Here is a 26873-nt window from a genome sequence, read left to right as displayed (position 1 = left end):
AAGGTGCAGAGGGGCTGAGAAGAGAGGGGCTCTCTTTTAATCACAGAGGAAAATCTTTCTCAAATGCCAGAATATTTTCCCCTTGTGTCCTCTTGGCCAAAAACTAGGTCACAGGCTCACAGGCAAAATCATTACAGAATAGGAAACTGAGGCACAAAGACATTTGAAGCAGTGAAAGAGGAAAATGAATCGAATATGGTAACTCTGAATTGATCCCTCTTGCCTTTGGGCAACAATTACACTTCTGTTTGTATATTACAATTGGAGATTGATCCTGCTCAGCTTCATCACTTGTCTTTTACTGCCGTCTTCAGCTAAAATACAAATCTGATATCTTTCTGGCTTCTGTTTTGTTTTTCCTTCCCAGCTCTGTCATTTTTACAGCCATTTGCAATCTGCAATATTTCTCTATGTTAATCTCTCTTGCTAACCTGAGAAATCTTTGTAAAACACGAATATAATTAGGTTATTGCCCAGTCCCATAATTCAGAATGTTCCATGGATTTCCATTACTCATAATATTAATGTTTAAGTGCAGGACTTTTAGATGCAAGAAGAGATCAAGTCCTAGCCACATCACTTCATCACAATATCACCTTGGGCAGGTGAATAATCTCTCTAAACTTCAGGTATTCTTCCATGATTTTTAATTATGTATTTTTCATACACTCATTTATTAACATTTAATTTAGTCTAATAGATGAAATTGTAAGAGGATGGGGACTTTGTCTAGAGCCGCCCCCACCAAAATCTGTCTCTAATCTGAACCAATGCCTGGCAGACAGTGGTCACCCAGGAAATAATTGTGGAGTGAAAAACCATGGAACATAACGCCCTCCATTTCATAGAATAGCCAGGATTAAATATGATAATGCATTTACTGATTATTTTAATTATAATGCATTTGATTAACTTAGAATGTTTAATACACATAGTGGGTGCTGGAAAGCTGGCTGTCCTTTCAGTTTTTGTTTTTTTAAATAATGAAAGTAGTACCAAAATTCAAGTTCTGCAGGATGGCTCTCACATTCTAATTTATTAAGCCTCATCATTAGCCACTCTCTGTTCTGTATACATACCTCATAATCTGACCTCAGGACCACCCTTTGTTCCCAGATAAATCAGGAATGTGAGCATTCACACCCCTACGCATACTGTTTCCTCTGCGTAGAACTTTTGTACGTTCTCCCTTTTCTTATCAGGTTCAGACTGTATCATTCTTTAAGAGCTGTCTAGCTCTGTCCCAATACACTGCTCCCTCTCCATAGTAAATCACTGCATGTGTGCCTTTTGCCTTGGATCACTCTCTTCCAGGCACTTGATGGGACATGCTTTCCTTCCTAGTTGGAGTTCAGCAGGGCCATGCAAAAGCAAGGGGAACTGATGTGTGGTCACCTGGCCTGAAGCTTTAAGAGCCAGCCCATGCTTTGTGTCAGATCTCCTCCCCACCAGCCTGGTGACTGGCACTACTCCGGAGAGTACCTGCTCCGTCTTTCTGCCTCTCTGAGAGACTCGAATGAGCAGTGTCCTGCCACCAACCCTCATGGGACAAACAGCCAAAGGGAGGAGGGACAGAGATGTAGGTGTTGATCTCAGCCTAACCTGGCATACCCTGAACGAGGCACCACCTCTTCAGTCCTCCTGGAGCTCTCCACATTGTGCAGGTGGCACTGTTGTCATTGCTCATTGACTTGGCTGCATCCCTCAGGAGACAGCTCCCAGAGAGCAGGACAGAACCACGGTCATGCCCCTTCATGCCCCTTCACACCTCTCGTGCCTAGTCCAGAGTATAAGTCCTTGATCCCTGAGTGAAATATGGATTTATGTGGTGAGGGGCGATGAAAGGAGGGGCATTTGGTCATGGTTGTTAGGAAGTGAAAGTACCACTATGATAAACAGAATTATCAGTCTTTGAGGGGAGGCAGATCTTTTCATTCGGATTGCCTGAGTTCAGATTGGCAGCTGTCCTTTGTCATCTCATGAAGGGTTTAAAGTGACCTGAGAAAATGTCCCCTGGGTAAGGTCAATGCTACCTGCACTCTGCCCTTCCCTGAACTCTCTCATGGGAGTTCTTATGTGCATCAGCCCTTCCCCAACCAGGAAGGCACCTGTTCTAGGAATGTTTTTACACTTCCAGGCGTACTGGAGCAGCCTGCTCCTGCCGGCTTCTCACCCCCACACAAGTCTCCTTAGCTGCACACATTTCCGCAGAAGCACTCTCTCTGCATTGTCATTGGGTCATTTGGTGACATAGACCAGTGGGCCCTATTCATTTAGACAAACCCATGTGTTTGGTTTAAGATTGTCATCACCTGCTCCTTTTTCTTGCTTTAGTTCTTAAGGTTCTCTGCTAAAGGCAGCACAAAGGCTAATTATCTTATGATAAGTTGTCCTTTAAAAACACTAGATTAAGAGCCACTTTAGGCTTTTTATTCTGCTTTTTCTTTGTCATCTGTCTCTGCACAGCTATCAATAGAGCAGCATTTTTCTGCTTTCACTGGAGAATGTTTCTTTCTTACTCATCAATTTTCAGAATGTTGTTTCTTTCTTTACTTATGACAACTATTTAAGCAGACAAAAATAGTTGTTAAACCTAAGTTATTACTAATATTTTTCTTTCACTTTTCTCTTCAAGTTAATATCATTGAGCTATTATTGATTGAGTGAATACTATTGAGCAATTATTTATTGTGAGTCTATCATATGTCAGGTGGGCTAAAATGTTTTTTCTATAATATTTTACTTAATTCCACCTAAGAAAACAAGCACTGGTCCCTTTCTTCAAGATAGGGAAATTAGGCCCAGAGTGAAAAATAGCTTCTTCAAGGGCATGTAACTAACCCAGAATGCAAACCCAAGATAATTTAAACATGATTGCTTTGATCTTTCTGCCCCATCCATTTATTTCTCTGTTTCCCTATTTACATACTTTAGCCTGGACATTAGTTCAAAGTGTTGAACTTTGTTTTTGTCCTCACCAGACCCCTGAACTTTCCTCAGGTGCCTTCTCCATGAAGCATATTCCAAATTTCCTCATCCCAACCTCCTTAATGTTGATGAAATAATGTCTATTCCACAGTTTCTTTCATCTCATTGGATTGGCAGTGTTTGTTTCCAAATCCATCTTTCCCCTTACACAGTGGGTTCCTTGGGATGGGACCTCATTTTCTTCTTACATTTCTGGGCTTGGTTACCTGTGACCTGAGCAAATGACATCTAACCCTCTTCAGTGTCTGAATTTGCTAATCTTACATTGTGGGGGTGAGGAAAGGGGATAATAATTGTAGAAAGAAATCCTGGATTCCAACTTAGTGACTCACAGTATTAAAATTCTCTCTATGAATCTAAGCATTTGAAGAAAAACTGTGAAAAACCAATCCAGAAATCTCAACACAATTTCCAAAGCTTATTTAACATGAGCTACTGTTCTTTGGCCAAGCCTACTCATCTTCCTTGGCATGTTGGACACTAACGAATCTGTTGGTTTAGATTTGATATCAATCTGGAATACAAAGCCAGGCCTGAGTGTTCACGCTAGCTGGTTGGGGAAGTAAATACGGTTGTTAAAGTAGAAAAGCAATGGGACTGACTTCACCAAGGAAGCCACAGTCAGTTTTATTCTTTAGACGCCTCTGAAAACTCATCTTTATGGTACCATGCTATGGGCTAGAACATTTCAGGACCTCTAGGCATAGCTTCCTTCATTAATGTGCTGATGACCTTGAGAAGGTTGTGAGAAGCAGGAAGTCTTGAAAACTCAGTTCATCATTGGAACAACCACACACGCGTGTATATGTATATATACACACACACACACACTCAAAGAGAGACACAACAATTATATGCCACAGGCCCCTCTTGAAAGGAGATGGAACCAGGACTTGATGAGTGAACCTTGCTGAGGTCCCATCAAATCTAATGAACATGACAGAATAAAGAGCAACATAGCAAAGGCTCTCTTGCCTGCAGCTATACCGCCCTGCAAGTGCCTGACTGCAGAAGCTAAGCATGGTCAGGCCTGGTTAGTACTTGGGATGGAAGACTGTCCAGGAAGATCCAGTGTTTTATGCTTTAAAAAAAAGAAAGGAAAGAAGCCTATCTCATGCATCCTCCTGCTAGTCCTTCATTTCTCCTGCCAATATCTTTGTTTTTCCTTCTTTCTCACTATGATTTAGAGGAAGGAATGCAGTTATTAACAGACAATAACTCATGTTCACATGGTTTTTTTTTCAATTTTGAAACACAAAGCAATCTATTTCTAATTGTAGCTCTGCTATCCTTCTTCTTATCTCATAAAGTATGAATAAGACCAAAATGGTTTTCATGTAGATCTCTCAGTCCATTATCGATGAGCCTCTGTGCTCTTCCCACAAGCATCCTGTCCTTAGCCCTCTCACAGCCCTAACCCTAAGGTGATCATGGCTGTTTTTGTTTTGTTTTGTACCTTCTCTCCTATTGTTCCCTCTCCACACCCTATACCCTGCATGGTCCCAAGTTGTTTGAGGGAAGAGACAGGGTGGGTGTCAACTGTGTCTCTAATTTCTTAGTGCCTGATGCACCGTACATTTATTTAGGCCTTGACTCTGAATTGTGGATACTCTCAAACCCTGATACTTTACAAAGTTTGCTTCTCCATTTGCTAAGGAAGAGGCGGAAGAGGCTGAGTGTCATATGTGGCACAAACCAGGAAACTAGACCCCTGTGGCAGTTCTCAGTCCTCGGCTCTTTTCCTAAGCAATTCTACTCACTCCCAATCGTCCATACCTCATTTAAGCAAGCAGAAGTCTTAGAGCAAACTGCCTTCCTCCAGCCTAGAAGGTGATTAAGCTGCCTGTTTGGTGTGGGGATAAGGGAAATCTTATCCCACCACATGCCCCAGGTTGGAAGGATTCTCTTCTAATGGTATGCTTTATTGTCACTGATAAACTTTTTATATAATACTTATCTTAGTTAATTAGGGCTACTATGACCAAGCACCATAGGCCTGATGGCTTATGAACAACAGAAACTGACTTCTCACAGTTCTGCAGGCTGGAAGTCTGAGGCCAGGATGCCAGCATGCTTGGGTTCTGGTGAGAGCCCTCTTCTGGGTTGCAGCCCCTGCTGAATTCTCCTTGTACCCCACATGGCAGAAAGAAAATAAGCCAGATTTCTGGCCTCTTCTTAGAAGGGCGCTAATACCATTCATGACGTCTTCACCCTCATGACCTACTTGCCTCCTAGGGGCCCCACCTCCAATACCATCATGATGGGGATTTGATTTTAACATATTAATTTTGTAAGGACACAAACATTCAGTCCGTAGGAGTATAATGCTTTCTTCTTTGCCTTGTTTCATTCTAGTAATGGTTAAGCATTCTTCATAGATTATTTCTCAGTCTAACTGATCCACCTCTCAATCAGGTCCTGGGTTCAATGAATATTCATTGAATGAGTGCTAAGTATGATCTGAGTGGAATCAGAGCAGCAAGTGCAGTTTGAGAGACCCTATCCAAGGAAACAGCCTCTTTTCCACTAAAGGCTGTATTCTTCCCCCTCCCCATCAAGGAGACCTCAGCAGCTTAGAAGTTTGATATATGGTGCTACTTTTAACCTATAAAATGTTAGATGCCCACATTGGTGACAAAACTTTGTGGTTAATTTTTAACAGTAATCACTTTGGCTAGGAATTTTGGATTCCGTGGCTCTTGGAAAATTCTCTTGAAATTCTGGATTCCAAGAGAGCCATGCATGATCAACCCGTATGTTTCTCAATCCTCTAAAGCATTCATGTTTTAGATTGATCTTATACTATCTTAGAATTTACGACCCAATCGTTTCACTCTGTAAACAAGGCTTAGAGTATCCCTGTGTCTTGCTGACCATCACATGGAAGTCAAGACAGAACCAGGGACTAGACCCCAGCTCCTATCTCCCAGTTCAGCACCCTATTTACCCTGGTGCTTTGGCCCTTTCGAGCAAAGAAGACTTTGTGGATATGCATCTTATGTGTCCGAATTATTGATTACCTGAATAGAAGCTTTATCAGCTATTGGGATATGGAAGTCTGACGGTTACAAAAACTGAAATTTGGTGGGAGTTTTCTATGCCAGCCCCACTCTTTAACAGTTCACACAGTCACACCTCCTTTGATCCCCATGACAATCCCATGAGGTTGGTGCTGTTACCATCCCCATATTTCAGATGGGAAAATTCATATAGAGATCACATGGCTTGCTCTTGGTCCTATGGAGCCAGTATGGGTGCAGCCAGGATTCAAACCCAGGCCCTTAATCACCAGCCTCCCGACTCCGAGCTCCTGTAATTCATCTTGATGATTCCTGAACTTCTCCTTCTGACATTACTTAAGTAATAATAAATAACATTTTAAAAATATAAAATGTAAATCATTTTGCATCAACATTCAGAAAGAACAGATGACCAGGCCACTGATGGATTAACTTGACATACACCAGTGCATTTAATCTGAAGATAGTGTAATTATAATAAGAGATAACAAGAGATTACAGAGGGGGCTGTGTGGTGTGCACGATCTAGGTGTTGTTTCTCTGGATAGATTACATGGCATTTAAATATTTCAAGATTAGCAAGATGATTAAACAGCACCTCCTGTTTAAAGTAAAGCTTGAGTTAGAGGCAAATGAGATACTAATTTACTTGTAGAACCTGAAGCATCAGTATAATGAAATATTCAACTTGAATGACACTTTAAAAACATTTCAAGTAAGGGACAGATGGAAATCACAGTGGTGTGTATATGTATGTGGGCCAGAGGAAAGAACCATGTACTATTGCTTTATTTAGTGCTATCATATGAAGTGCAACAGTTTTTTCAATATAAAATCAAAACCCACTAGGGCATACTACTCATATTATTTCTATGCCAGTTTTCCCCTTGAGCTCTTTCAGGCATGGATGCCGCTTTGTCATTGCTCTATCCCTGGTGTTTTTCATGGTGCCTGGCAATACTAAGCACTCTCTTAAATGTTTGTTTTCAAATGATCATGATAAACCAAGAGCACACATACCTAAAAAGAAAGATAGTAAAAAGTTCCTGGGCCAAAGCTGAACAAAAGTTTCCAAGTTACACCATTAACTTTTCTCAAGTCAGAGCCTGTACATAGTGAAGTGACACTGCTGAGATTTAAGTTCAGGACTATATGCTTCATCCCAATGCCAGGGCTATTTTTCCTCTACTTTTTTATTTATTTATTTATTTATTTATTTTTTGAGATGGAGTCTCGCTCTGTTGCCCAGGCTGGAGTGCCATGGTGTGATCTTGGCTCACTGCAAACTCTGCCTCCCAGGTTCAAGCAATTCTCCTGCCTCAGCCTCCTGAGTAGCTGGGATTACAGGCGTGTGCCACCACGCCTGGCTAATTTTTGTATTTTTAGTAGAGACAGGGTTTCACCATGTTTGACCGGCTGGTCTTGAACTCTTGACCTCATGTTCTACCCGCCTTGGCCTCCCAAAAGTGCTGGGATTACAGGCATAAGCCACCGCTCCCAGCCTCCTCTACCCTCTTTCTAAATTTCTAGAGAGAACACTGCAGCCTCTCAAGCTGTGGGTCCTGTAGCCTCATCCACACCAGCACCTGCCATGGCCTGTGCTCCCCACAGCATATCTTAGCATAGGCTGAGGCTTTCCTTGTACCCCATTTGGCTTTTTCTCCTACTGCCCTGAATGAATGCTTCCGTGGGACTTCCTTCTGAGCAATGGCCAAGTTTTCTCCAAGATTGTGTTCGAACATGATCTTTGCTGTGAGGTCCTTCGAGGCCCTCCCTGACCCTCTGCCAGCTCCCATCTCTTTCCTCTGGGCTCTTGAGTTTCCACGGCTGGATCTATGTCTACTCTGAGGTCTAGTCATTCATTCCTTCCACGTGCATCTTCCACATTATAAGGTGCTCCTTGAGGACAGGGACGGGATTATTTCAGTGTCCCCAGGGACTCAGTACAATTTTAGAAACATCGTAGATGTCTTGTAAGAGTTTGAGTGATCACCTATGGGCAAAGCATAGACCTTAGGCATTGCTCTTTGCAGACTTGCCATTCAGTCTTTTTTATTTTTATTTTTTCCTTTTCTTCACTTTACTTGGCAACTTATATCCATTTATGAGATTCCTAAAAATCAGCACTTTTCACATAAATATCCATAGTTGAGTTTTGAGAAATGTGAAGATCAGACCACTCTGGTCCCTGGTCTCTGACAATATCTGCCAGAGTTGGCAGCACCTGCTTCTTTAGCCAAACTACACACACAGCTGATTGCCACCGTCTCCCATCAGCCAGCTGGCTTCATACATAGATGTCACTTGCCTAAACCTGGAAGCATCTGAGTGCTGCCCCTGGAAATACACACAGTGGAGGAAGTCCCAGCCAAACAGTTTTGCTTTACTAATTATTCTGAGGACCATGTACTAGTCAGCTAGGGCTGCTATCATCAAATACCTTGCAATGGATGGTTTAAACAATAGATATTTATTTCTCACAGCTCTGGAGGCTGGAAGTTCAAGATCAAGGTGTCAGCAGAAGTGGTTCTTCATGAAACCCCATTCCTTGCTCGCAGAGGGCCACGTTTTGCCTGTGCCTTCACATGGTGGAGAGAATGAGAGAGAGAGACAGAGTGAGCTCTGTTTTATCTTCCTCTTCTTATAAGGACACCAATCTTGTCAGAATGGAGCCCCACCCTTACAACCTTATGGAAATCCGATCATCTAAAGCCCCCACCTCCAAATACCATCACACTGAGGGTTAGGGTCTCAACCTATGAATTTGGGGAGGACAAAAACATTCAGTCCATAACAACCTGGCTCAAGAAATGAGACAAATCATCTCTCCCTGTTTGTCCAAATTGTTTCAGGGGAAACAATTTACTTTGGTTTGTATAAATTTATTTTCAGCTGTGAATTATTCCAATCTTCCTTACCCAAACAAAAAAGGACAGATTTCCATGTGTCTGGGGGTTAGTAAGATGCAAATTGGGAGACCCATGTTTCTGAGTCAGTTCAGTCCCTGCAGGCCTGACCTTGGGGTTCTTGTTCTCTGCTTACCTCAGTTTGTCTATCTGCAAAATGATAAGACAGAACAAGATGATGGCACATGGCTATTTTGCCTCTGATGCCTTGTGTGTCTTTCCTGACCACTTCTGGGTTAACATAAAAGATTTGTGGGTACTCACCATCTGCAGGGTGACAGATGACTGTCCACCCCAGCCAGGGGAGCTTCTTCAGCTAAGATGGCACCTCTCAGAGGCTCAGTCATACCTGGAGCAGGGGCTGAAGCCATGCACCCCACTGTGGGCCCAAGGCAGCCCAGGTCCTGTCTCCTGTCTGCTATGGGGCTCCTCTTCCACTCAGTTGCACTGAGTAATAAGAGAAGCCCCGTCTGTCCGCCCTCCTGTCACGGAGCTCTGCTGCACAGTGCCTGAGCCAGTGTGTTTCTGCTTCTAATGAAGGATTTATTTAGGTCACTGCTGCCTTCTGTGCACAGCAATGCAGATTAAACATGTTGAGAAGTAACTTCTCCTCTTCCTTCACTGGGGCCTGCCTCACCACTGCACACACCTGGCTGCTCATCATTCGTTCAGGAGCCCTTTATGAAGGACCCACAGCCACTGCGTGCCCTTCTACAGAGAGCTAAATTATTTCTATGTGTCACTGTCCTTTCTTCTTTGAGCTTCTGTCTGGTTGAGTCACTGCAGTACTTTGCATCATGAACAAATGTGTTTGACTAATTATCATCCCAGGATCCCATTTATACCACCCAACATTTTTTTTTTAAGGGACAAAAATAGCTACCATGATTTGAGAGCTTACCACAGGCCAGTCAGTATGGCAATGCCCTAAGCATGCCACATGTACTTTTTTATTTAATCCTCACAGTAAATATGTAGGGCCAAGACATTCAATCTCAAGCTCTGAGTTTCAGGGCTGTCTTGCAGATTTCAAGTTACAGAGCTAAGATTTGAGACTGGGTTTTTGGCTCTAAATCCTGTTAATTCCCAGCATCTTTCCTCCATCTCCCGCCTCCCAAAATACAAACTCAGCAGACAAAATAATCCCTGTCTATTTTGTCTACCACAATTGTTTTCAGTCCTGGAATTAAAAATATACTACCCCAACAACAGTAGGAAACAAACAAATAAAAAACAAAAGACATTGCCCATCTCTGCCCCAGGCCAAGAGTATCAGAATCTGAATTGGCACCCACATTCTAAGCTCACAGGGTCCTAGCCATGCCAAAGACTATCGAGGGTTACATCAGCTCCTCTGGGAATTTATGAGGAATACAGAATCCCAGGCCTCTGCTCAGGCCTCTTGCATTAGAATCTGCATTTGTAACTGGCTTTCCAAGTGACTTGCGTGCATATGCATGTTTGGAAAGCACTATGCCTGATGACTGTAACTTGCAGCCACAAGTCCCTCCCAGGAGGAAATCTTTAGTTACCTCTCATGCGAATTTTTTATCCAGATCCTTGGGCCATAATCCTTCACCTGATCTGGACAATAATGTTGTGTGGGTTGACTTCAGACCACCTATGGGACAGGTTGCATTTATCATTCTCATTTTATCAAGGAGCACTTAGAGGCTCACAAATAACACCAAGATGGGAATCCTTATCCCAGTGACTACACCAAGCTGCCTCCCTTGGCTTGCCAAAGCATCTCCTTCCTTCAATTTCAGAGAATTCAATTTATTATCCAGTTAAACGTTTGTAAATATGGCACCTCTCAGACATGCAGAGGATTCAAGGAAGCACAGAAGGCTAGAGGAGGAGATATTCGAATAGTCCTCCTCTTTTTCAAGGAAAAAGTGGGGCCAATTACTGTAACTTATCCCCCACTGCATAGTAAATGTGGTCCAAGGAAGCTTATTAACATTATGTGGCCTGACTTACGGTCCTTTCTACCCTAAACTCTTTTCACCCCATCCCACCTCACAGCAATTACCATAAGGAAATCCAAACAAAAGTGAATGTCAACATTTGTTGAAGATTGACATGTATAGGCAATTTCAAGAAAATAAATATTTATGTAGGTCTTGAAATATCACTGTCCTCTCATAGGCTGACAGGCACAAACTAAACGTATTTCCAATTTCATTGTTTCTAAAATGACCTGCCAAGGATGAAAATCTGACACCACTGTGAGGTGCTCTTCCATAGCTATGCAAAGATGAAAGTGAAGACATGTTTCGTTCTTAACAATGAAAAAATAATCTTATACTTTTGATTGCCCAGAAGTTTGGTAGATTAAAAAAAAAAAAGACAGTTTTGTTGTTCAACCTGTGTTTCTCATGTTTCAGTACGTTCCAGAAAATTAAATCACTCAACACCATGGGATTCTTGGAAAGAAGCAGTTCTCGCATAACAGTATAATAAATCTCACACTTCTATCTCATTGTGGTTTTAAGTAAGCTCTCCCTTGCCTGGAATGCACTCCCCACTGCCCAAGGGGAAGCATCACCATTCAAAGGGGACAAAAGCACACCGTGGGCTTTGAGGATGGCCAGTGGAATATTTTAGTTTTGATATTTCCTGGTTCTGTGACCTTGAGGAGGTCATTTAACCTTAACAGCATGTATCCATTTCTGTCATGGCAGATATGAATATGAAAGGCAGGCCATTAACATTTGTTGAATAACTGTGTGCCAGACACTGTGCCGTGTATTTGGCATGGGTCATCTTATTTAATTATGATGACACCCCTATCAAGTAGATTTAAGCTCATATTTGCAGAGGGGAATGTGGAGACCCAGAGAGGTTAGACATTTACTGAGGTCAGTTAGCAGTAAGAATTCTAGCTTGGATTTACCTGATTGCAAAAGATTCTTTGCTCATCTACTACTCCCCACCACCTTTTTATTGCTTAAAAATATAAAATAAAATGAGAACAACCACCTCTTGTATTGTTGCAAGTATTAGAAGAAATAATTTATACCCAAGTGCTTACCACCTGGCACCCAGTGAGTGCTCAGCAGGTAATCTCTTTCCTTCTAACCCTTTTGTTAAATCCCATAAGTGAATTGTGGTTGTATGCTTTGATCATCCCTGCTACCCTAGAGGAGATTCCTGCCTGTGACAGTGTGTCACCATCTCTCATTGAGGGGCTGTGAAGGTGTCCTGCAGACAGACAGATGGCAGGCATCGCTGTTCCAGATTCATTAAATGTACCTCTTGTGAAATATCCTAGTTATTTCATTTCATCTATGAATATGTTCCAGTAGTGGGACTGAGAGAATATATTACAGTTAATTACATTTGAAATCTAGGTCATGATGTGAATTATGTAATAAGGAGACATAAGGAGAAAATGAAAATATTTTTGAAGGGTTATTTCATTGCTTCCCCTCTTTTTTAATCCAAATATTTTCTAGGCTCTCAGGTGATGTCGCCCAATCACGATTAGAAATGCTGAGTCCCCCTTTCAACATCTGGTTTCTGCTTGACTCTCTAGAGACAGAAGTTTCAAACCCTTAAAGTTTCTCTTCCTACTGTGTTAAAATATGTTCCCAGTACCTTCCAGCTATTTGCCTGTCTACTGCATTTGACAAGTTCATTCAGCAAACAAAATGTCTAGTATGTGCTATATACCAGAAATCATGCCAGGCCCGAGGGGACAGAGTAGAGCAAGGCAAGACCTCCATTTGCAGGAAAGGCCTCCTTGGAAAGGAGTTTAGATTTAATTCCAAGTGCAAGGGAAGCCTCCATCTGGAAGATTCTGTGGAATCTCCCTTGGGTTTCCCATGCCTGGCATGTGGCTACTGTCTTCACAGTGGGACTCGAGGAAGCTTACTGTTGCTGATAGGAAGGACCTTAATCTTTTCAATTCATGAAACTCAGGCCTTGGGTTTTCACCATAACACCCAGAAAACAGCCTCCCTGATAAAGGGAAGTAAATGGAGGGGTAGCTGGGTCTCCCTTTGGGACCTATTAACCCATCGGAGGTTCATTTTGCCCATCTTAGCAAGTCTGGGCCTTCACAGAAATTCTGTCCTTCATCAAAGAATTGGTGCAAGGCACAACTATTCAACAGGACCAAAGAAGTAGAGCCAAGTTCATTAATAACTTGCTCACTAACTCCAGACATTGCCAAGAAAAGTGAAAGTGACAGTGAAGTTCCTGGCTTTGTTTAGACTGAGTTTGAATCCTTTCACCTCCTCTAACTTTCTAGACACAAGACTTCATTTCTCTGAACCTCACTTTTTAAAATAAAAACATCACTTACCTTGAGGACTTGCAGTGAGGATTACAGCAAGCCCTGTGTGGAAAGTTGCCAGTCTAGTGCCTGCTCAGTAGCAATTGCTGCAGATGGGAGCTGCAATCATTGCTTTTGCCAAGGATGTGGCCTCAGCTCCAGGTGCTATAGAGAATTCTGTATCCATGCCCACATCAGCCAAGTGCTTCAACTGTCAAAAGGTCCCATTTGTTTACTTTTACCTGGTTTGTTTCTTGAGGGAGAAGATCGAATTTGCCTTTGTGCTGCCTGCAGGTTCAAACCTGCCTTCCTGGTTCTTCTCCTGTTCAGGAAGCTCCTAATCTGTGAGTGCGTAGAGAATCTTGCTTTCAGGAGAGTGTGTTCCACACTTAAAGACCTCTCAGATTAAGAATTGCAAACATGCCCAGTGCTATCTATCTCTGTGCTCTCTAACTCAATTGCCACCAGCCATATGTGTCCTTGAGATGTGCTACACAGGAAATATATATGCACTTGGATTTTGAAGACTGGGTAGAAAAAAATGCAAAATATTTCATTAATTTTATATAGTGATTAGGCCAGGTATGGTGGCTCACACCTGGAATCCAAGCACTTTGGGAGACCGAAACAGGTGGATCACTTGAGGTCAGGAGTTCGAGACCAGTCTGACCAACATGGCGAAACCCCATCTCTACTAAAATTATAATACAAAAATTAGCCAGCTGTGGTGGCACACACCTGTGGTCCCAGCTACTTGGGAAGCTGAGGCACAAGAACTACTTGAACCCAGAATGCAGAGGTCACAGTGAGCTGAGATCATGTCACTGCACTCCAGCCTGGGCGACAGAGGAAGACTCTGTCTCAAAAAAGAAAAATTATATAGTGATTATAGGTTAGAGTGATAACACTTTAGATCTATTAAGCTATGTAGAATATATGTTTTAAAATGTCTGAATGCATATGTTATACACAATATATTTATATTGGACAGTCCTGACACACATTGTTTCATTTCAGTCTCAAAGTAATCATTTGAAGCAGGTGGAATTATTACCATTTTACAGATGAGGAAACTGAAGCTAAGAGAGGTTAAGTCACTTTGACCAAGGTCCAAACTAGAGACAGGAATCCTGACTCCAGGGCCTGTGCAATTCATTTGGACCCTTCTACTGAACAGAACAAATGAGCAAGTTTGACCCTGTACTACACATACCCTGTGTGTCAGCTGACACTGGAAGTTGGTGGCCAGGGAGTTGTCATTGCTGGGTAGATTTTGTTGGGTTTTTCTTCTATGGAATCCCAAAAATATTGTCATTATTTTACATTACAACCACTTACTCGGAAGACAGTAGTAACAGCAACTAGACTACAGAACTGGACTTCTGGAGCCAAAAGTCCTAGGAACAGATTTACTATGTGACACTGGGCAAGTCATCTTGGGGTGTGAAAGGCAGGGACTAAGTGACTCCCTTCTTCCCTGATGTTTATAACTTCATTGTCAAGATCAAGGTGGCACACAGGAATGGCTTACAGGTTCACCTGAGCTTGGGAATCTTTTTGTTTCTGAGAGTGTTACAAAAAGGACCAGAAATCCTTTCTGTGCCACTGGGAAGTCCAAATTACAAAACCACAAGAGGAAGTTGGCTCCCAATGCCCACAGTGTGTATGTAATATAAAACAGGTTATACTATATTTAGCTATGAATATATGTGTGCATACATTTACACACACAAACACATATGTACTTATACACATTTTTACATATACACATAAAAGATACACATGGGGTATACACATGATATATATGCTATATATAGTATGTGTGTATGTATATGTGTGCGTATATACTTGCATATGTGTATATAAGACATTAGCTAATTTCTTTCTCTATTAGCCTCAAATATTTTTGAATGAAAAAGGTCTAGACATAAGTAAATACATTTTTAGAAAGGATTAAAATACAAACAAGGAGCTTATAAGCTACTTAACTTCCCAATACGTTGTTGTTATTTTCTTTCATAAAGGACAAACTATATTTAGTTTCTTCTCTACTGTCTGCTGGTAATTCTCCTTCAGGAAAGAAACCTCAGATGTACACTACACTAACCAGGATGCCTCAGGTTAGAGTTGAAGGAGCATAAACAGTCAGATAATATGAATTTCAGATCTGGCCTCTGCCTCTACACTTAGGTATCAAATAATATGAATGTGTTGTTCCCTGAGTCTGAACATGGAACTATAAGATGGTGATAGCAGTGACCAACACACAGTATAGCTCTCTAAAGGGTAGTAGTTAGTCCCTCTCTCACTTGACCTACCTGTTATACCTGCACACACACACACACATGCATGCATACACATACAGACACACTCAAGCATGCACATACAATTGCATACATTCTCACATCTCAAACATGTAAGAGCCAAGCACAATTGGTACATTTGGTCGAACCACATAGGTGACTTGAGAAGGAAATGAAATTCAGCTGAAACACCCTGAAACCATCACTTGACTAAAAAAATTGGCCTGTTAAATTTAGTTCACCAATCGGTAGAACCAACCTGAAACCTCATCGTTCTTGGCTATCCTTTCTAAAGCATTCTTGATTTTTTCTTAAAGAGTTACATCACTGATCTCTCAGGTCCCTTCTCCAGTGCACTGTGGTTCTCTAAAACCTTCCATCTATTTGATTACTTGCTCTTTAATATGTTTTTCAAAGAAGATAACAATATCTGAGAAAGGTAGATTAGCTGGTTGATCATAAAAATGGATGTCCTGGAATTTGTTCTTCCTTTATTCATTCTGGACAAGTTTTAAACTAATGAAGTAAATTTTGAAACTACCGTACAAAAGATGATGAGTCCTCTTGATGGAGAATATTTTTACTAGCTTTGTAAATCCCTCAGTCCCCAAGCCAGGCCTGTCTCTTACGCTTCCCTTAATGTGTTTTAACAGAGATGACTCAAGTGAAAGCAACTAATCTCCTCTTTAGGGGATAGCGTGAAACACAGACTGATGAGTATCAGCTCCTTGAAAACATAAACCCTTGACTGGTCTGTCTTGTGGAACCCCACAGCATCTAGGCCAGCAGTTCCTGTGTCCTTTACTGCCTAAATGTTATAAATCTTAAATAGGTAAAGAGGAGAAGTTTTGTGGAAAAGATGTGGTTTGTGGATAAAGAACACTGAGTTTAGAGTTTTCAATTTGGGCTCTAAATTTTGAAATAGACTAATAGAATTGTGTCCTTAGACAAGACTACCCTCTATAAAATGGTGGTGACAGGCCAGGCGCAGTGGCTCATGCCTGTAATCCCAGCACTTTGGGAGGCCGAGGCAGGCAGATCACCTGAGGGTGGGATTTCGAGACCAGCCTGACCAACATAGAGAAAGCCCATCTCTATTAAAAATACAAAATTAGCTGGGCGTGGTGGCACATGCCTGTAATCTCAGCTACTCGGGAGACTGAGGCAGGAAAATCACTTGAACCGGGGAGGCGGAGGTTGCGGTGAGCTGAGATCACACCATTGCACTCCAGCCTGAGCAACAAGAGCAAAACTCCATAAAAAAAAAAAAAAAATGGCGGTGACATCTGCCTTGCCTTCCTACCTTACAGTGTAGGGTTGTAGTGACAATAGCTGAATATAGTATGAGACCACATTATCAATAGTAAAGCTTTGTACAAATGAAGGCTTTTTTGCACTTTGTAGTAATTTCACTTGTTTATCCCTCCAGGCCTATTTCAAATGTTTCCTCCACTGTGAAACCATCCCCAATTATTTTAGGCAAAATGAATGAACATGTGTCTTCATAGTACCCTACCAAAATTACAATCATAACATATATCTCCCTGATGCCTACAGTCAGGCTGCGTCAATTAACTTTTGCCAATTTCCCGCTGCAATACAAACCACTCCAAAACTCAGGGGCTTAAAACCACAATCATGCATCTTCACTCATGAGCTGGGATGGCTCTGTGTGTCTTTCATCCTCCCTCTGGGACCATGGGCTAGCCAGGGCATATTCTTCTCATGGCAAAGCCAATAGTGAAAGAGGGTGAGCAAAAACACACAAGGCCTCTTGCAGCCAGGCTGGGGACTGATACGTTGTCACATCTGCTCATATGCTAGTAGCAAGGCCAATTCAAGAGTTGGACACAAGGTGAAGAATTGGGACTAATCATGCAATCTTTCATACTAATTCACATGCTCTGTTAGATTAGGAGCCCCTGGCTGGAAGAGTGGGGGCAGGAACAAAGCCTGCTTCTATATCACCTGCCCCTTTGCCAGGGACTGGTGAGTAGTAGATATTTTATTGATTTTTGCTGAGTTCCAAAGGGTCTTCCCAACCCTTTCCTTTATAGCAAGGGTTAGCATGCTCTGACTAGGGAGGCAAACCTGGCCTGGTTGTATGCAGCCAGCTAAACATATAAAATGATTGCAAAAAATAACAATAGTAAGAAGGAAAATAATATTTAATGACACGTGAAAATTATATGAAATTCACTCAGTGCCCATAAATAGAGTGTTCTTGGAACACAACCACACCCATTCCCTTGTGTGTTGTCTATGGCTGCATTTCATCTATAATAGCACGGTTGGAGTTGGAGTTGGCATAAAGTATGTCCCCTAAAGCCTAAAATACTTATTCTCTGGACTTTTGCAGAAAATGTTTGCCATCGGCTCCTGTATAGGATAAGAAACTGAGAGTCCTGGGGAGGTGAATATAGGCCTCACTACAGAGTGGCTACAGAGTTGTTAGTTGAATTATCCCTGTATTTGTTATATGTTAATATCTTCCCTTTTTGTTCCCTAGTAATTGAAGGCCTGAAACGCCCATGTGCCACTGACTAGGAGGCTTCCCTGCTGCGGCACTTCATGACCCAGCGGCGCGCGGCCCAGTGAAGCCACCGTGGTGTCCAGCATGGCCGCGCTGCTCCTGGGCGCGGTGCTGCTGGTGGCCCAGCCCCAGCTAGTGCCTTCCCGCCCCGCCGAGCTAGGCCAGCAGGAGCTTCTGCGGAAAGCGGGGACCCTCCAGGATGACGTCCGCGATGGCGTGGCCCCAAACGGCTCTGCCCAGCAGTTGCCGCAGACCATCATCATCGGCGTGCGCAAGGGCGGCACGCGCGCACTGCTGGAGATGCTCAGCCTGCACCCCGACGTGGCGGCCGCGGAGAACGAGGTCCACTTCTTCGACTGGGAGGAGCATTACAGCCACGGCTTGGGCTGGTACCTCAGCCAGATGCCCTTCTCCTGGCCACACCAGCTCACAGTGGAGAAGACCCCCGCGTATTTCACGTCGCCCAAAGTGCCTGAGCGAGTCTACAGCATGAACCCGTCCATCCGGCTGCTGCTCATCCTGCGAGACCCGTCGGAGCGCGTGCTATCTGACTACACCCAAGTGTTCTACAACCACATGCAGAAGCACAAGCCCTACCCGTCCATCGAGGAGTTCCTGGTGCGCGATGGCAGGCTCAATGTGGACTACAAGGCCCTCAACCGCAGCCTCTACCACGTGCACATGCAGAACTGGCTGCGCTTTTTCCCGCTGCGCCACATCCACATTGTGGACGGCGACCGCCTCATCAGGGACCCCTTCCCTGAGATCCAAAAGGTCGAGAGGTTCCTAAAGCTGTCGCCGCAGATCAATGCTTCGAACTTCTACTTTAACAAAACCAAGGGCTTTTACTGCCTGCGGGACAGCGGCCGGGACCGCTGCTTACATGAGTCCAAAGGCCGGGCGCACCCCCAAGTCGATCCCAAACTACTCAATAAACTGCACGAATATTTTCATGAGCCAAATAAGAAGTTCTTCGAGCTTGTTGGCAGAACATTTGACTGGCACTGATTTGCAATAAGCTAAGCTCAGAAACTTTCCTACTGTAAGTTCTGGTGTACATCTGAGGGGAAAAAGAATTTTAAAAAAGCATTTAAGGTATAATTTATTTGTAAAATCCATAAAGTACTTCTGTACAGTATTAGATTCACAATTGCCATATATACTAGTTATATTTTTCTACTTGTTAAATGGAGGGCATTTTGTATTGTTTTTCATGGTTGTTAACATTGTGTAATATGTCTCTATATGAAGGAACTAAACTATTTCACTGAAAAAAAAAAAAAGATTTTTTCTGGAGACGCTATGTTTTTTTGAATATAATTAACTTGCCCCCAACTCAAAATAGCTGTCTGTGTTGCAATCATTGCAAAATCTAAATTCTTTTGTTACTTAAAAAAACATGTTTTTCATGGCTATTACAATCCTCTCTCTCCCCTCTCCTTTCTGCATTGCTCTTTTTAATTTTTAATGTCTCATTGTGATCATCAGATTTATTTTTACTTGGATTGTAAGATTTATCTCCTCGGCGATTCCTTGTCATTTTTGGAGGTCACAGTTTTACTCATTCCCATGTGTAAACTTCAAGTAAACAAAGCAATATTCAGGATGGAGAAGCAGTTAGTGACTGGCTAGAGGTCTCTTGGGATCCATCTTGACCTCAAAGAATATTTGCACATGCTTCTGATCTCAGCAGTTATAATAAAGAGGATTAAACCCTTGGCCTTCAGAATGATCTTGGACCTGGATACTTTGCCCCAGGTGGCAGCTGGCCTCCAGAAAGCCAATTAGAATAGAAAAGAGAAACTGCGAAATCTATGCGTGTCTTCATCCTGTCGGTTCTGTGAAAGGCTGACTAAAAGGGTAGTAGTCTTTTGCTTAGTCTGAAAGTCTGCTTACTTCCTGAAAGACACATTGGCATTATAGACATATATTCCATATGCACTGAGACATAAATATGTGTATGTTTCAAAATCAACTCTAAATTTGGAGTCCTGAATGTGAAAGAAAAAGTAAGTTCCCAAGTGTTGAAGTTAAAAAGAGAAAAGGGCAGAGTTGAAGGTAGCACCTAAGAGAACCACTGTACCTGCCCCCAGAGGAGTGGCTGGAGTTCAGTTTTACTTCTGCCCCTGAGCAGCCAGCTTGTTGGAGATGGTCACATAAACCCTTCTTATCCTCAGTTTTTTCATGCATTCTTCATGCAGTCAGCCTTTTACAGAATTAAACCCATTGGATTTTAATAAAAATAAAACATTCATTACAGTAAAAGAGAAAATACAAACAAGCAAAATAAACCGGCTTCCTGACATGGTTTATACCGCAGGAAAATGACAGAAATGGACGTTATTAATCATCTCCTACACTTAAGAACTCATTGAAATTTCTCCAAGCAACCCCAGGATGCAGATATTATTATGGAAATTTCAAAGAGGAGGAATTAGGCCCAGAGAACATGAGAAACTTGCCCAAGGTCACATTGACTATAAACTCAGGCTTAGAGGCTACTCAGAGCCAAAGCACAGGTTATTTATGTATTTAGTTTTTACCCAACTCTTTCTGAACTCAAAAGGAAAAGCCCAGACTCAGAGCCAGTTCTTCCTGACCTGACTTAACATTTCTTCCCAGGTGCCAAATATCTTCCATCCTAAGAGGTGTGTCCCAGATACAGGAAGGGCAAGAAGAAGCCTGCATTTTTCTCAGCAGTGTTATCAGGGAAGTGAGTCACCTTGGTACGTTTCAGCAGCTCCAGCCTGACCTGACCTTAGCATGGCCTATGCCCCACCCCATATCATGAACAGAGAGCAGAGAGGATGCCTTCCTCTTTAGAATCCATTGAAGTTGTCATTAAGCCATCATCTCCCCCAGAGGAAGTAGCAGAAATATTTACAGCAGGCCCCTGGTGGACATGGTACTTTTCAATAGGCAGAGAGCCTCCCTCTGCAGCACATCGTTGGATCTTGCTTTTACCATACTCCTTGAAGAGCTGAAGAAATAAGAGGGCCCAGCAAGGTTAAGTCAAGTTTCCAAGCCTGTTCAGGAATATGGTGACTGAAAGGAAACTGCAATGAGAGTCTCTGACTGAAGAAGATGCTCTTTGCAAACTGCCTGTAAATTCCTGTCCCCTGACAGGGATGGTCTGGTAGAAGCATGAACTGTGGATGCAAGAGGCAGCGGGGAGGAGTGGAGGAAGACAGGACCAGCACATGGAATATAATCTAGCTGCTGGGACTGGCATAGTCGATGGAGGCGGTGGTCCAGTGTAAAATGATCAGTGAATGTAAATTCAATATGTTTTCATTTGGGGGTGCAGAGTCGTGGCTAAAGGAATGTTCAAATGAGTCTACCATGAGCAAGGGATCAGAGGTCCTAGTGGCACTATCTGTTCATTCATTTTTGGTACAACCCCAGCCAGTCATTGAGAAGGTACACTGTGTAAGAAACCATCACTCCAGACTTACCCAAGGTATTTATTGCTAGATCTCACCAAGCACTGTCAAATTCAAAGGAGGCCCTGTAGTAGACCCTGGGCTGTCCTTACAGGGCCAAAATGCAGTGACTCAGGAGCCTAATAGCACCCGGTCCCTCCAAAACATGCCTTCTACCAATTCCATTAACAGAGACAGGTGTCAGTGGAAGGGGTGGGTCTCCTGTCCAGACCACCCCGGCCCGGGAGCAGCCTGGGGGATCTAGGTGGGTCCTTCCAGAGAGGCAAGTGAGAACAACTGAACCAAGCCTCAGCTATTAGATTTGGAATATTCACACACTTGACACTCCAGAGTCAGAACAGCCCCTTCCCTTTCCCTTCCTCCTGGAATCAGATAGGGTTGAAATCCTTTTAACACCATTTGGTTATCAGCTCACAACCTGAAGGTTTGCAAGTTTAGGAAAAGTGACATGCCTCTGAGCACAGGGTGCTTTACTCCTTCTGTGCTTGGAGGCTTACCCAACTGAAAGGAGATGGAGGGCAGGAGAGGCCGATGCCTAGCGTGCCTGCTGCTTACAGGGGTGGTGTCACAGGTCACCATTATTCATTAAAATTTTACTTTTTTGATCCCCTACCACATGCTCAACATGGTATTGAGTCCTCAAGAATATAAAAAGAAAATACAACAGGAACCAGTAGTCATTAACTGTTTGTTCTGGACTTTAATAAAAGTACAGAGGGTCTTGGAGTACAAAGGCAAAGACATTTAGCTGTGTATAGAATGGGTGGGGGAATGTGTTCCATGGTTTGGCATTCAGTTCAGCAACATTCCTGAGAGAAATCAACTAGCCCCCTTATAGAGAAGAGGAAACTGAGATTTAAAAAGTGGTCCTGGCCGGGTGTAGTGGCTCACGCCTGTAATCCCAGCACTTTGGGAGGCCAAGACAGGTGAATCACGAGGTCAGGAGTTCAAGACCAGCCTGACCAACATGGTGAAACCCCATCTCTACTAAAAATACAAAAATGTGCCAGGCATGGTGGCGAGTGCCTGTAATCCCAGCTACTCAGGACACTGAGGCAAGAGAACCACTTGAACCTGGCAGGTGGAGGTTGCAGGGGGCCGAGATGATGCCACTGCACTCCAGCCTGGGCAACAGAGCAAGACTCCATCTCAAAAAAAAAAAAAAAAAAAAAAGATAAATTAATAATAAAAAAATAAAAAAGTAATCCTGACTTCAAGTCATTTTTTTCAGAAGAAAGGATTCTTGCTCACTCCAGGGAAATAGTCCAGAAATGGAAAATGTTGACATCACAAATCACAAAAGAAGGTGAAAAATATCAGAGACCCTCTCCAGAATGTCATTTCTCAGAAATATTAAGAAATAGAGAATCTTCCCAGAGGTCGCATGTCAGGGCAGGTCACTTAACTTGTGGGCCACAGAGACCCTGACCTTCCTGTGGGAAGGCTTCATGGAGGAATTGCCATAAAGCTGGGGCACGCACGAATGGCAGTAGTGTCACCAGAGCAGGGCATTCTGAACAAGGGAAGCTTGAGACATGAAGACAGTGGTCACGGGGAGAGGCTGGGGGTAGAGGGTAGAGGTAGGCAAGAGATTTGTCTGAGTGGCATGTCAAATGTGTTAAACTCAATGAGAAGCTACTGCTTTCCAAGGCTGGAGTGTTGGAAGCTTACTTAGCAGGCACCCATGTGAATTTGGCTCCTGTGCAGGTGTATCTGTTGCATAAAAATAGCTATCATTTGTTGCACACCTGCCATGTGCTTGGTATTTTAAATATATTGCTTCTAACCTATATAACAACCCTAGGAAGTAGAAAATGGGCTACTAATTTTACAGAAAAATAAACTCAGAAATTAAAGGGCTTGCCCATGTTGATAGAGCCATTACTTCTTACAAATGAAATTTTGTCTCCGATGTCTCTGCTCCTTTTCAGTCCATCTATTTGTGGGTAAGTGGAGGAAGATATAAAGCATATGCATCTGTCTATTAGGCAGAGCCTGTAAGGGAAATTATGGGCATCTAGGATTTGGAGTTGGACAGTTAGGGTGATATCAAGATTACCTTCAAGCAAAGCAGTGGCTGGGATTTGATGCAACAGGGACGTGATAAAACATGCTCCTAACCGGCAGCAGCTCATTTCGGAAGACTGAGCCTGAGTTAAAGGCCAGAGCAACATAACAGAGTTCTCCAAACAGCACACAGTGAGAGAAGGCCAAAGCTAAAGAGGACATCATCGGATTTAGCTGCTTCACTAAAGTGTTTTGATGTAGAAAATGACCTTGGTGCTTTAGTTATCCCTGATGTCAAGACCTTTACTCTATTTTGCCCAAATTTCTCAGTTAGATAACAGCAAAGAGAGAGAGCCAGAAGACCTGGGTGTGCATCCTAGCTGTACCAATCACTGACCATGGGATCTTAGATTCAGACTCTGAGAACCTCCATTTCCTTCTCCATAAAAATGGGCAGATATGTACTGTACTCTGTTGGGGGAAAACTCCAACTCAATGAGATAAAGTAGGTAAAAACTATAAACCCAGTGCATATGTTACTTAGTGGTTAAAAACATTTGGGACTTTAGGAGACAGACCAAAACTGGTTTTGAACCAGTCGGCAGAAATGCGCTGCCTTTTTTCCTCCTCTGCTTCCCAGCTATGTGACTGTAGCTATTGCTGTTAATGCTCCATCCAGAGCTCATTTACCAGGGAAGTGCTCTCAACCCCAGCTGCCACAAAGATTGTCTTCTGTACTATTTTCTGAAGGATTTCTCTTAGTTGGCAGGAGTTTTCTTACCTGAAGATGCCTGAGAAATGTTGTCCACCCCACTCCCCTGCTTTCCTAGGGTTAGGGCATGACTAATGATTGACTGACCCATGTGGGATGGGGCATGGGGGTAGTAGGGTAACAGTCCACCCTCATTGCCTCCAGGCAGGACAACCTCTGGTGCAACTCATGCTCAGAGCTCCTCGTGAGATCAGGCTGAGGCTAGACTTCTCCTGAAACTGTACTTTTACTTATTTCTTCCGAAACTTCATCCTTTTCCCACATTACCTTACTCATTTCTTCTGCTACCCTATTCTCAGTAAATGTGTTTCCCAAGAAAACAGGAATCCCCCCTCAGACTTTGCTTCTAGACCATCCACTCTAAAGTCTTAACCTTGCATGCATGTTTTCTTCTCTCTGTATTTTACATGTATAACGTGATCAACCCACGGAGTTATTAGAATTCTTCCAATTAAATGAGATATAGCAGAGAATGAGTCTATTTTATTGGCTAGCAAATAGCAAAGTGTTAAATTCAATAATGGCTGAAATTGTTACCAAGTAGTAGGCTCTTTTATTAGCTTATCGGACTACCAAAATAGTATAATGCATCAATATCAAACTTAAATTTCAACTTCATAAAACAATTCTGGGCCCAACAAATATGAAGGTATTGCTCCATCTTATGTAGCAACATCTTGTATTTCTATTGTTTGATAAATATTCCACTTAGAACTAATACATGGATGTCTCTTTCTTTTGATTGCAACCCTCTGGCACTTAACACAGTGCCTGGTACATGGTAAGTAAGGAGTATTAATACTTGTTTGTGGATTGAAGGGTAACTCTAGACTAGTTGTCAGTTTTACGCGAAAGCCCCTTCTACCACATCGCAGCCTCATGATCTGGCCCGCCTCCTGGAAGTAGCCTTTCTGGCCCAGACACTGGTAGGTACTTTAAAATAAGCTGTTTTATGTAATCTTCACAAACCTCAGGGGAAATAATCAATTCAAGCTTCCTGTGTTTGTTTACCATTAGATCCACATCAAATAGTAACCATACTTGACATAGGAGCTATAAATATTTATTAATCGAACAGATCACCCTAATACCCAAGCTCTTTTCACTATGCCTTACTATATGACCTCTTCTTGAATATTGAACCAATGAATAGTTCTCCAAGGTAACCCATTATATCTCCAAACTGGCTATTGAAATTCATACTTACTGTACCTCGACCTACATCCCCCAGCTTTCTCTCATGCATCTGAGTTCTACCACACAGTGCCATAATGAACAGGTCTAATACCACTTTCTCATGTTGGCATACTGAAAAGAGCGCTGACCTCGGATTCTGAAGACATGAATTTAGAAGTTTATCTCAGCCTTTTTCACAGCTATGTGACCTTGGGCAATTTCCTTAACTTCTCTGAACTTCCAGTACCTTTCTGTAAAATAGGGATAATTATACCTTCTTCACAGAGATTCTATGAACAATTTATGGAAAATGGACAATGGACATATAAGAGATCACAATTTCATAAACTCTCCAAATATGTAAAAGTGAGTCTTTCTAATTCCTAGTTAGCTCTCATGGCTGGTATCATCTTCGACAGAAAGTAAAGGAATAACACTCATGTGTTTATTAAAACCTAGGTATTATATCATTTAACCTTCATATCAACCTATGAGACAAATGCTACTGTTTCGCTTCTTTTATATATGGATGGGGAACCAAAGCACAGAGACATTAAGTAATTTGCCTAAGGTCACATGGCTAGTAAATAGTAGAGCCAGATTTATCTCCTGCGTGTTCTCTTCATAAATAAAATGCTTTACCTCTAGGTTATAATGCTGTCAATGCAAAAGAGAATCTCTTCTACAACATGTTTGTTCATAAAAAGAGCTAGAACACAAAGAAGGCAAAGATAGAGACCAGAAACTTAATATAAATATCAGCAAAAAAGGCTGTGGCAGGCAGAATTCTAGAATGGCTCCCTTGGTTTCCACCCACTTGTGTACAAACCCTGCATAGACCCCTCGCCTTGAATATGAGCAGAAGTTATAAATAAGATGAGTCACTTACTCTCTTGGTTAGAGTACTTTATATGGCAAAGGTGATGGGCTATAATGACATTGTGTTATGTAAGACTCCAACTTAGCACACTGGGGAGATTCTTCTACTGGCTTTGAAGGCATCACCTGCCATGCTGTGAGAGGCCTTTGAGAGGGCCATGTAGCAAGGGACTGCAGTGTCCAGTAGTAGCTGAGAGTGTCCCCAGCCAATATCCAACAAGAAAGCAAAGATCTCAATATTCCAGTTTCAAAGACTAAATTTTTGCAACAACACGTGAGCTTGAAAGAGGGCCCCAAGCTCTGGATAAGAAAGTCATCTGTCTGAAATCTTGATCGCTGCTTGGGAAGGCCACAGCAGAGGTAGGATGTGATTGGACTCCTATCATAGGGAAGTTGAGAGAATAGGTGTATATTGGTTTAAGCTGCTAAGTTTGTAGTAATTTGTTAGGTAATAGGTAATTAATTCAAAGTGTAATTCTATTATCTAGTCTATTCATCTTGCCTCATGCTCACTTTTCTGTATGCTCCCTTGAAAACAAACGAAATGTATGGATTTTTGTTACC

At 42.5% G+C, this 26873-nt stretch overlaps 1 protein-coding gene and 1 pseudogene across 2 annotated transcripts in view, besides 1 other annotated feature; both read left to right on the top strand.

Annotated features, from left to right (window-relative positions):
- HS3ST1 (heparan sulfate-glucosamine 3-sulfotransferase 1) overlaps nt 1-24972 on the top strand; it is a 41178-nt gene extending 16206 nt beyond the window's left edge. For both annotated transcript variants that reach the window (XM_011513913.4, NM_005114.4), the window contains exon 2: nt 18009-24972. In XM_011513913.4, the coding sequence (XP_011512215.1) occupies nt 18117-19040 (924 nt within the window). In that variant the 5' untranslated portion in view covers nt 18009-18116 and the 3' untranslated portion in view covers nt 19041-24972. The remainder of the gene's footprint in view (nt 1-18008) is intronic.
- On the top strand, nt 3962-4071 carry RNA5SP156 (RNA, 5S ribosomal pseudogene 156; annotated as a pseudogene).
- Nucleotides 20138-21337: an enhancer, noted in NCBI's record as "CDK7 strongly-dependent group 2 enhancer chr4:11398409-11399608 (GRCh37/hg19 assembly coordinates)". NCBI's record gives its function as "activates an origin of replication core promoter dependent on BRD2, BRD4, P300/CBP, MED14 and CDK7 cofactors, with strong dependence on CDK7, by STARR-seq in HCT116 cells {active_cell/tissue: HCT116}" and the evidence as "EXISTENCE:reporter gene assay evidence [ECO:0000049][PMID:35650434]".
- Nucleotides 24973-26873: the final 1901 nt, after the last annotated feature.

Source organism: Homo sapiens, chromosome 4 (assembly GCF_000001405.40).
Source record: "Homo sapiens chromosome 4, GRCh38.p14 Primary Assembly".
Classification (NCBI taxonomy): domain Eukaryota; kingdom Metazoa; phylum Chordata; class Mammalia; order Primates; family Hominidae; genus Homo; species Homo sapiens.
The sequence above is the reverse complement of the archived record's forward strand: the minus strand, read 5'-3'. Positions and strand labels throughout refer to the sequence as shown.